The sequence below is a fragment of the Homo sapiens genome, chromosome 7 (genome assembly GCF_000001405.40).
Source record: "Homo sapiens chromosome 7, GRCh38.p14 Primary Assembly".
In the NCBI taxonomy this organism is placed as follows: domain Eukaryota; kingdom Metazoa; phylum Chordata; class Mammalia; order Primates; family Hominidae; genus Homo; species Homo sapiens.
The window spans coordinates 83,684,971-83,696,441 of record NC_000007.14 but is presented as its reverse complement, the minus strand read 5'-3'; the positions used below and the strand labels follow the sequence as shown (position 1 = coordinate 83,696,441).

At 36.7% G+C, this 11,471-nt stretch overlaps 4 annotated features.

Annotated features, from left to right (window-relative positions):
- Positions 2,600 to 3,242: an enhancer, noted in NCBI's record as "NANOG-H3K27ac hESC enhancer chr7:83322516-83323158 (GRCh37/hg19 assembly coordinates)". NCBI's record gives its function as "activates a minimal SCP1, AML or CMV promoter by ChIP-STARR-seq in primed H9 embryonic stem cells {active_cell/tissue: H9 hESC(primed)}" and the evidence as "EXISTENCE:reporter gene assay evidence [ECO:0000049][PMID:30033119]".
- Positions 4,921 to 5,432: an enhancer, noted in NCBI's record as "H3K4me1 hESC enhancer chr7:83320326-83320837 (GRCh37/hg19 assembly coordinates)". NCBI's record gives its function as "activates a minimal SCP1, AML or CMV promoter by ChIP-STARR-seq in naive H9 embryonic stem cells {active_cell/tissue: H9 hESC(naive)}" and the evidence as "EXISTENCE:reporter gene assay evidence [ECO:0000049][PMID:30033119]".
- Positions 9,781 to 10,288: an enhancer, noted in NCBI's record as "H3K27ac-H3K4me1 hESC enhancer chr7:83315470-83315977 (GRCh37/hg19 assembly coordinates)". NCBI's record gives its function as "activates a minimal SCP1, AML or CMV promoter by ChIP-STARR-seq in primed H9 embryonic stem cells {active_cell/tissue: H9 hESC(primed)}" and the evidence as "EXISTENCE:reporter gene assay evidence [ECO:0000049][PMID:30033119]".
- Positions 10,972 to 11,471: an enhancer, noted in NCBI's record as "OCT4-NANOG-H3K27ac hESC enhancer chr7:83314287-83314786 (GRCh37/hg19 assembly coordinates)". NCBI's record gives its function as "activates a minimal SCP1, AML or CMV promoter by ChIP-STARR-seq in naive and primed H9 embryonic stem cells {active_cell/tissue: H9 hESC(naive and primed)}" and the evidence as "EXISTENCE:reporter gene assay evidence [ECO:0000049][PMID:30033119]".

The following is an 11,471-nucleotide window of genomic DNA, read 5'->3' as shown; positions in this document are numbered from 1 at the left end:
TGACAATGAAGACCAGTATGAATCAGTAAGAGCTCAGCAACATGAGAAGTACTTGTGAGCACTAAGCACTTACGTATCAGTGACTAACAATCAAAAAGTGCCATTGGTACGTTGAGGAAGATTTGGAGGATTAAGCCTGGTCCTCTTGTCCTCAAGGGACACCATCAAGGGAGGGCCAGGTTTAATCCTCCAAATCTCCCTCACTGTACTAATAGCACTTTTTAATTGTTAGTCACTGATACATAAAACTTTAAAGCCAAACTTGACTCCTTCCTCTGTTTTCCACCAGATGTATGCATGCCACCATGTTCTCTTGAGTTTATCTTTGCACAATCTTTCATTTCTTTAAACTCTCTCCCATTGTTTTAATTCTCACTGCCACCAGCCAGGCTTGAGTCTTCACTACTCCATACCTGGCTGTGTGTTATCATCATAGCTGTTGGCTTTAACTCCAGTCATGTCTACCCCATGCATTTTGTCCTAATGCACGTCTCTATCTGATTCACTTTTTTCTCATACTTGAAAGGATAATAAAAATTAATGCCTTGTTATCATTTGTAGAAGAAAGCTAACTTATTTGGCTGGGTATTCAAATTCTTTCTTCTAGCCTTTAGCCTTAATACCCTCCAAGCTTTTATTCCCATTCTACATTATAGAGCATTCTCAGCTCTAAACATCTCTTTCCTCACCTTCCCACTTAAAAAAAAGTGTGATCTTTGTTCTCTCCCTTTTCACCCTCCCATTGCCTTCTGAGGGTTTTATCTTTGCCAGCTGTGTTTTTAATCTTTTGGGATTCAAATTTTGAATAATTAAAACAGAAAAGAAGTGGGGGATCTTAACAGGGGTGAGCCAGGGGTTTGCTTTTGTAGGGTGAGCAAGTTTTTGTAAGAAAGCATTCAAAGACTCAGCATGAGAGAAAATCCACTGCTTTGAATCCAACAGGACACTCCTTTCTTTGGAGGATTGTTTCTCTGCCTTACTAAAGCCATATGACAATTGCTTAGGAAAGAAATTAATATGTTTAGATGATAATCATGTAATTAACATCTCTATAGTAAGACTGAAAGGAGTAGTAAAGCAGTATTCCCCACCCCCTAGCCCACACCCCCATACCCTGCCATGGAGGGAGAGCTGCATGGCTTGGTTAATAAGAATAGGTGAACCAGATTTGCTCATGAGTGACTTCGTGTCAGCCTTGGTCCTCCATAAAACTCCCGTAAACTTTCTGAACTGTTGAAGCTAAAAAGGGTTAAGGAAGAGAGAATGACTATCATGATGCTGCTCCATAATCAAGTGCTGAATGCTGGAGCTAAGGCCTGCCACACTGGTAGTTTTGGTAGTTGAAAGTAATAACATATGCTTATCCTTTTCAATTATAGTCCAGCCATCAAGGTGCTGGTGGCTGGAATTACATTTTTCCATTGGTGGTCAGGGGACTCTTGCTGCCTCCCACTACCACCACATCAAACAAGGTCAGAGCGTAGTAGGAGGCTGTGCCCATTCATCAGGTTCCAGTGTGGCAGACAGGTCAGCAAGTGGGTACCTCTTAGGAATTACGCAGTCACCTGATGGCGTTTTAGAAACAATAGTTAGTGTGGGCCAAACCCAACATTTATTGCTAGACAGCTGAAAGATTTGAGTGAGATTAGCATTTCTTTATTTGTGACATTGGGGAATATCTAATGGCAGTCTGCCTTCATGAGGGGAAGAACTCAGATTATACACTATATTTCTCATCCTGCTAGGAACACAGACATTGAAGAAAAACTCTAACATTGATGCATTTATCCCACAGAAAGCCCCACATTCCTTTGCTCTTAGATTTCTAAGAAGAAAACTTTGGAGACCAAATAAATACCTTCAAAGGCATACCAGTAAATATGGAAGAAAGGGATGAGATAGACCAAATTAGAGTCACTAGATGGCACAATTAAAGACTGAGCCCTTTCATGATGGTTCACGAAATGGGGGAATATGTGACCGGCACAATATTTATTTGTGTGTATATAGTCTCCATGTTCTACATACTTCTGCACAAATAAGATTGTAATATTTGTTTATGATGATTCTACTATGCTTTCTCTCTCTCCTCTAAAGCTTTGCAAACCATTTCCAGGATGTTTCGCAATTCATAAATTGAAAAGTAGTAGGGATAGACCAAAGGTCAGAGCAAGTGGGAAAGAATTTAGCATAAAATTGAGGGGAAAAAGGGTGAAGAAGCCTTGCTGTATGTATAAAGTGGATCTTTCCCTTAATCTTTCTCAAGAAGATTGAATTTGATATTTGAACTTTTTTTTTTTATTCCCTCCAATTTCTGTGTATTTTGAGGCAGAGTCTCACTCTCTTGCCCAGGCTGGAGTGCAATGGCGTGATCTCAGCTCACTGAAGCCTCCACCCCACTGGGTTCAAGTGATTCTCCCACCTCAGCCTCCCAAGTAGCTGGGATTACAGGCACCCATCATCATACTCAGCTAATTTTTGTATTTTTGTAGAGACGGGGTTTCACCATGTTGGCAAGGCTGGTCTTGAACTCCTGACCTCAGGTGATCCTCCTGCCTCTGCCTCCCAAAGTGCTGGGATTACAGGTGTGAGCCACCACACCCAGCCTCTGGATTCTTTTTACATGCTAGTTCACAGATAGACTAGATTGTGTAAGCCCTTCTTTCATTGGGGCTTTTCATTTACAGTCTTACATGTGGCTCATGCTGTAAACAAAACATAACAAAAACTCCTTTGCCATAATCTGAATGCATTATAACCAAACACACTACAACTATGCTTCCCAAACTGTGAACTGTAAACCAAAAATTAAATTCTATGCTCCCCAACCCCCCGACCAACTGAATGAAACTTTTCTCTCAGCCAAGGGCATTTCAAAGTTGACCTGAAACATAAGTTCAGACCATGATGGGAATGCAAAGTTGGACATATCCCATTATACCCTCCTTCCTTTGGAATTCAGGCAAAATTGACCAGCATTAACATTAAAATGGAGACCTTAAAATAATCTATTCTCTCCTACTACCTGGAGGTTTCATCTGCATAATAAAAGTCTTGGTCTCCACAACCCCTTATCTTAACCCAGACACTCCCTTCTACTGATTCCAGGTCTTTAGATAAACTCTTTCAACCAATTGCAACCAGAAAATCTTTGAATCCACCTATAACCTAGAAGCCCCCAGTTTGAGCTGTCCCACCTTTCTGGACCAAACCAACGTTGTCTAACATGTATTGATTGATGTCTTATGTCTCCCTAAAAAGTATAAAACCAAACTGTAGCGTGACCACCTTGAGCACATGTTTTTAGGGCTTCCTGAGGATGTGTCATGGGGATGTCCTTAACCTTTGCAAAATAAACTTCTAAATTAATTGAGTCCTGTCTTAGATACTTTTTGGTTTACAGAAGCAAGGTGCCGTGGGGCACTTGAGTAAACTCTTAGTGGCACTACAGGATCTTTAAATATTCCAAGAAAGTATGCTGATATTTGTTGCATACCATGTGAACTATAATTTGTTTGGACTTAAAACTACCCAATAAATTAATCTGTCAAGTATTTCCTTTGGCCTAAGACTGATGTAAATAGTTACTGACACACCAATTGGGTCATGAACCAGAAAGTTCTAGAAACACTATAGCTTTCCAAATTCCATACCTTCTCTCCTTGCTTTCATTTCACCTACAATAATTTATTCCACCATCTTTATTTGAAAAATTATATTCTACTAATTTCCCTATTCAATTTCATCTGCTACCTTCTCCAAGAGGGTTTCCGATTAACCAGAAGAAATTTCTGCCACCTGAACATTTTTGATTACAACACTTGTAACATTCTATACTATCGTCTTCTCTCCTAATACACTATGAAGCCCCTAAGAGCAGAAACCATGTCTCAATTACAGATTGAGATTCTTTCTCACAAATGAGGACAGTGAAACAGAGAAAAATAGTTGATTAATTAGAAGGCAGCACAATAACTTAGTAACAGAATTGAAACCAAATCTTATATCTCCTGACTCTTGGTAGCATATAGTTCTGCAGAGAATTTAAAATAATAGATGCCTAAAAATATTTGATGAATATATTATCAAACAAATAATAGAATTAAACTGATTTTTAAATAATAAAGATAATATAAATTTTCAAGATATAATCTTCTAAGAAAAAATTAGATCTAATGTACCATTTATATTACTTTGAGATTAACATTAAGATAAATAATTTTTATTCACATTTATTGCTGAGTGAAAAACCTGGGTTTTAAGAATTTCCCATACATTTCTAACTTAATAGGGTCAGATGCGCAACTATAAATATTCAGTTTATTATATTCATTTGAAAAATATATATTTATGGAACATGTAATGGTGTAAAGTTTTACAGCCACATGTAAATCAGTAATTTTACACTGTAGTTATATGTTAATGCCAGCTATGTGATTTTTTTTTTTCATATGTAATTTTAGCTTATAGTAAACAAGTGCGGAAATTTTTGTAAAATAATAAAGCTATTTCTTTACATTATCTACTATTAATTTTTCATAATAATCACATTTGTCTTTGCTTCCCTTGGAAAATAATATTTTGAATGTTGTTTGGTAAATCATAATTTAAAACAAAATCATTTTTATTAGACTTGTATAAAGTTTAACACTAATTTTCAACACAACATGTTATGATTCAAATGACATATTAATTATTTTTTTATTTCAATACTATATCTACCCTATACACTGTGGACAATTTTTTTAAGGAACTCATTTTTTTTTCTTTTTTTAGATTAAAATGGGCCCTAAAGTTACCATACCCCATCATAAGCTCTGAAAGTCTTTATATATAAACTGAATGTACATCTGAATTCTATCACACATACATGCAATGTAGAAAATTCCTAGAATTTCATGTTTTCTCCACATCCATTTTGAATATAAGTTTAACTTTCTCATACCAGAAGCCTGGCTTGACAGTTTCCAGTTCTACACCTCTTCCCAATTCCTCAATGTAGTGAGCCAGATATCTGCCTTATACAACTGTCTCCTAGTAATCACCTCCCTACGGAGCTAGATACAACCTACTTGACTTGCCCCACCAACCCCCATGCCCTGCATGGAGTTTGCAGATGTGCTGCGGTGACCCCCTCTCAGTCACAGCGTGACACTGTGGAATTCATGCCTGCTTGCTCCAAACCCAAGGGAAACCTGCTTGGGTAATATCCTGGGCCCCAACAAAGGCTTCAGCCCATTATCCCTCTTTTTCTCTCTTTCTCTCTACCCTGCTGGTTGAGTGTGCTGTCTCCGACAGCTCCCCTCTTCCCCTTGGTCCTGTGATGCTGCTCTCTTCATTCTGAGATCTGTAAATAATCAATTGATTCAGTTATTTTAAGTGTTTTGTTGTGTTGCCTCCTCTGTGCTGCCTCACCTGACCAACACACTTGAACCTAACATCTTTCCCAGTCATGGCTCTCCAAGACAGTGGCAATCTTAGTAGGAATAAATGAGACACAGGTAAGACAAGAGCCATAAAAGCAAGTGCCACTATAAAGAAGTTTCCTGTGAACAGGACACCTGGTTACAAGTTGGACATTTAGCCATCAGGCTGTCCACCAGGATGAAGAAGTATCCCATGAAAGACATACTGTAAACATCGATGACCAAATTCCCTGGAGCCCCATCTGGGCAGGGCTAGATTTTATAGCCACTTTCCTAAAAGACACCTCAAAGCCAACTTAGAAAAACCAAAACAAAATATACATACATATTATAGTATATGCAGATATCTCTAGTCATGGAGCTATAAGTTTTATCAAACCATTTTTTAACACTTTTAATAAGTTATTTCTTATGTTTCCACAATTCTATAGTGAACACTGCTCATTCCACAGCTGTGTTCACTATAAAAAACTGTTCACTCAAAAAAGTTTGAGTTTTCAAACAGATTGCTTCAAAATGATCTAGTGCCTATTTAAAATTCTTGTATCAACTGTTCATAGTAAAATATAATATAGATCCTTTTAAAACACTATTTAGATTTGCTTTGTTCTTGATTTCATATATGTTAATGTTATTGCATGTTTCTGTTTTTTTGTTTTTTTTCCCCTACCCAATGACTTTTCAGATATTAAGAAGTCACATTAAAGGACCACGTTTTTATAGAAGAGCCAATTACATGTGTTAGGTATTCAAAGTAAGATTGGTTTCTCTCCTACACCAAATAAATGTCATAAAACTTTCCAGTAAGAATTTGTTAATATTATGTCAAATTGTAAATAGATCAGCTTATGACCTGATTTTATTTTAAGCTTTGCATTTCATTGCATTTCACAATTTACCTGCTGGTTAACACTAGCACAGAAAGGTGTAGGAATTCAAATAACAAATGCCACACATATCTCAGCCTTTTGATTTCCGTTTGGATGACCCAGGTATTTTAGACTTTCAGGCAACCAAATTATTTGCTTTAATGAAGAGAGATTGAAACTATTTTTGCAATGTAGCAAAGATTTCACCCTATGAGCCACAGTTGTGCTTAACACAAAACACACTAGTCATCATCTCTCTTACTCCTAAATGGTTCTTCAAAATGTTTATTTTAGGTAGAGAAATCTTCTTAAATATTTCTGAAACAAACCATTTAAACAAAGAGTATAAACAATATAGTTTGGAATGAATATTACAGACACACAATTGTCATTACATCAGGCAAACAAGCACAAAGTAAAGGCAGACCAAAAATTTTTTTTAACCCAACACCAAAGCTGAGAAGCAAACTATCAGGAGATAAAAAGCAATTAAGATAAAAAGATCAAAATGGCTTATTCAAGTAGATTTCTAAAAGCCTTTCTCTATTATACTTGCTTCATAACCTTGAGCAGGACTAAACAGATTTAATCCCTTGTGTGAATCTTATTTATCTGAGAATGCTTTATGATTGAAAACTCAGTATCTTTTAAGATCAGCTACACACTTTTAGAATATTTGCCTTTGATAAAAGTAAAACAACCTCTTTGATTGTCTAGCTTTCATTAAGTAGTTCTAGTCTACTCTAGTGATTATTTTAAAGCTTTTACAGCTTTATTTTTAAAAAGCACTCTCTTAGTTTTAGCTGATTTGAACTAAACTCTGCAATTCTGCAGCCGATTTGCTAAATAACCTTGGGGAAGTCACGTAACACTTCTGTGATTCCATTTCTTTTAGCTATTTAAAGAGGGAGAAATAACTCATACAACTTGGAGAGGATACACAGGCTCTATAAAATATTAAGATTTACATGATGGAAGATATTTAATACACATGCACCTTTTATAAAACAAAGGTATAATCTTATTTAGTATCTCCTCAAATCCCTCACCAATTTAAGAAAAAAAACTCTCACTGATCAGTATGCTTAACAAGAACTAACTTTCAACTCATTGGGCAAAGGGCTCATCTGCTAAATAGTGACAAAAAAAAAAAGACTCCAAATAAATGAATAAATAAGATTGGGATAAGTATTACACTAGCAGAGAAACCATAGAACTCGGTTGGGGGAAAATTAGCAAGTTACAGCAATTCACCCATTCCAGAAAAAAGAATAAGAAACAGAATTCATCCCACACCTAATGTTTTTAGGATAGAAATGTATGAGACTAAACAAACATTACCAGACATAAGAAGTACAAGATTATGACTATTTTCACTCAAATAGTATAAGTGGTGAGTTTCAGGTGATCCTTGTATTGAGATGAATTTGTAATGTTCTGTAAACATATTGTAAGTAAAACATTATGAGTTAAGACAACGAGATTATGGACAAAGAGCATAATCAAATCTGATTTCAATCATCCACTTACTAGCTTTTTAATCTTGGGCAGGTTTTTAAATAATTCTATGCATCAATTTTTACATTTCTAAAAAATCTTATGGTGGTGAGAATAATGAACATGAAATCCACCATCTTAACAATTTTTTATTTTATTTTTTATTTTTTTTGAGATGGAGTCTTACTCCGTCACCCAGGCTGGAGTGCAGTGGTGCAATCTCAGCTCACTGCAACTTTGCCTCCCCAGTTTAAGCCGTTCTCCTGCCTCAGACTCCCAAGTAGCTGGGATTACAGGCACCTGCCATCATGCCTGGCTAAATTTTGTATTTTTGTAGAGACGAGATTTCACCATGTTGGCCAGGCTAGTCTTAAACTCCTGACCTTAAGTGATCTGCCCTCCTGAGCCTCCCAAAGTGCTGGGATTATAGGCATGAGCCACTGCACCTGGCTTCATCTTAACAAATTTTTAAGTGTAATATTGAGGGTCAGAATATGATACCCTAAAGTATGGTGCCTTGGTGTGTTGAGTACTTTGAACTGAAGGATGCTGGAAGGCCTCAGAAGCAATCTATTTCTCATTTTCTCCTGCCATCCTGTCTTCCACTCCTTTCAGGAGCGAATCTTGGAAATCAGAATATAACTTCCCCAAAGCAGGTCTTAGAAATGAGAACTCTCTTTTTCAAAGCAAGCCATAAAACCTAGAAAGGTCACTGTCCCCCTTCTTGCTTCTCCCTTGAAGATGCTCATTCCAGACGGGTCCTGCCCCCTACCTGGAGGAAGAAATGCTACATACACAGAGAGGCCAAGAAGAATCTGAACAGACAGTCCTTGTTAGGTTTCCCTCCTCAGTCTATCACCTTTAGATCATGCCATTTTGTCCAATCACATTTCCTCATAACTCTCCATTCTTAATCAAATCTAAGTATAAAATGGACAATTTTTTTCTGGGTCTTTGGGTCTTCATTTTTAAAGGCTCCTGTGTCATGTTAAACTTTGATTAAGTAAATTTGTTTCTTGTTAACCCATCTTTGCTATAGAAGTGCGGCCATGACCCTTATGATGAGTGAAGAAAGGTATCACAACTTTCCACCCTTACAATACAATACACATTATTGTTGACTATAGGTAAAACATTGTACTGCATTTCCCTAGAGCTTATTCATCTTGCTTGACTGAAATGTTATGCCTGTTTACTAGTATTTCCCTATTTTCCTTTCCTCCCAGCTCCTGGTAGACACCATTCCATTGTTTGATTATAAGAATTTGTCTGTTTCAGATACCTCATGTAATTGGAATCATGCATCTTTCTGTTACTGGATTATTTCACTTAGTGCAATGTCCTCAACAATACCTCTTCTTTTCACAGGCACAACAGAACCTAAAGTGCAGAACTCCTGTTTTCTTGTTTCTTCCTTCCTTATTTTTCTTCTTGCAAATTTAACAAACAATGCATTTAAGGTATAAAGCATGGTGCCTGATAAAAGGGTGTTTTTACATGGTAGTTTTTACTAATTTGCAGCCAAATAGTTATTTCTGAGTTGGTATCAATCCAGATTTTAGAAAATAATTACATCGATTCTATGGCCTTAGACTTAAAATTCTCTGGGATCACTCACCCACAGTATGTGAAAAAGAAGGAGAAAAAAATTCATGTGGGCCAAGAGGGACAGCAGCCCAAGGCTCTTTACTTCTACCCCAGCCAGGTCCCAGAGTAACAGACCTGCTTGGTGTATGTCTCTGCTAATCACTGTATGAGAAATTTGGGGCCTGATTTTAGCACTTATTCCTTTCTCTCTTGCCCCAATGTGAGTGACAAATACACCAATACTTTCAAAATATATTCTTGCAAATGCATTTAATCTCAATAATATTAAAAGATATATTTACAGAAAAATCACTTAATGGAAGTTCAACAAAGTATTACACTAAAATTATGACTGAACATGATTTTTGTGTATTTTATAAAATTTGTATATGTTATTTAACTTAAAAACAGCTGTCACATTAAAACACACACTCACAATTCTGATTTCACAATTCTACTTCTTGGAATTTATCTTATGGAAATACTCAGAGAAATTCATAACCACGGGTATGTAAGTGTACTTACTGAAGCATAAATAATAGCAGAAATAAGCAACTTAAATGTTCATTAATAATGTTATTGAACATAATCTATTGATATTTATTGATAGTCTTCATCAGTATTACTATGATTTTTTAAATAAAAGATGGCTTATACACAAAATATACATGCAGAAAAACATGCAACCTTTATTAACAAAATAAATATAATCATAGAAAATACATGTGATACTTTTTTTTTTTTGAGACTGAGTCTCACCCTGTCGCGCAGGCTGGAGTGCAATGGCGCAATCTTGGCTCACTGCAATCTCCGCCTCCTGGGTTCAAATGATTCTCCTGCCCCAGCCTCCCGAGTAGCTGGGATTACAGGCGCCCACCACCATGCCCAGCTAATTTTGTGTGTGTGTGTGTGTGTGTGTGTGTGTGTGTGTAGTAGAGACGGGGTTTCACCATATTGGCCAGGCTGGTCTCAGACTCCTGACCTCATGATCCGCCCACCTTGGCCTCCCAAAGTGCTGGGGTTACAGGCATGAGCCACCACGCCCTGCCAATACATTTTAAGACAAAAAGTGAATAATGAAATAGCACGAATAGTATAATCCCAATTTAATAAAATGTGTATGTATTACAAGAAGTTTATACTTACAGACACAAAAATGTTCACTTTAGATTTGTTAGGATATTGGGTTTATAGGTTTTCTTAATTTTTTTAAAAAAATCTCTGATTCTTTTTTGTACCAAGCGTGAATGATTTTATACTTAGAAAAATAAAAAACTAAAATAATACAAAAACAATTAGTGAATCATATACTGCTTATAACTTTAAAATAGACCAATAGTTATAATTTAAAACTTCAGGACTTGAGATAATAGGATTTTGAACACGTAGTCCAACTTCTTTATTTTTCAGAGAGCCCAGAGAGGTAAAATTATCTCCTGAGGTTATGCAACTCATTATTATTATGTATCCAATACATACCAACCTTCTTATTCTAAAATGCTTGAAGTCAGCTTTCTTCAATCCACATAATTAGGTAGACGTTACACATGATTACGTTATTTATAGCCATAAAGATTACACTACAATTTTGTGCAACACCATTTTCTGAGTACAAGATCTGGCCCATGCTGAATCTATAAATAGACTTTTAAGATAATGTACTTGTTTACCTCCACTGTTATTCTTCAATTTGTTGTTTGGTTTTAATTTTTAAATATCTGTTGAAATAAAACCAAGATAATTGTGGTAAGTTCTAATTGTGCAGCGTCCCTCACTTTGACTTATGGGGAAACCCTGGGCCCTCTACCTATGAGTCTTAAATACCTTCAGCTTGCTAAGGCCTTAGAGATGGTAAAGAGCTCCCTGCTGTTTCAAAGCCCTAGGTAAAGTGGAGAATCCACATTCCATCCATTCCTCCCTGGGAGGAAGGGAGTTCATCAGGCATTCAGTACAGATCACAGCTGCTGAAACCACCAAGGTGATTCCCACAGCCCTAGACATTAGATTCCCACAGCCTTAGACCTTTATGAGTTCTGAAGCTCTGCCCGAGGGTTCCTCCACAGGAGCACACCTCAGGCACCTGCTCCCTTCA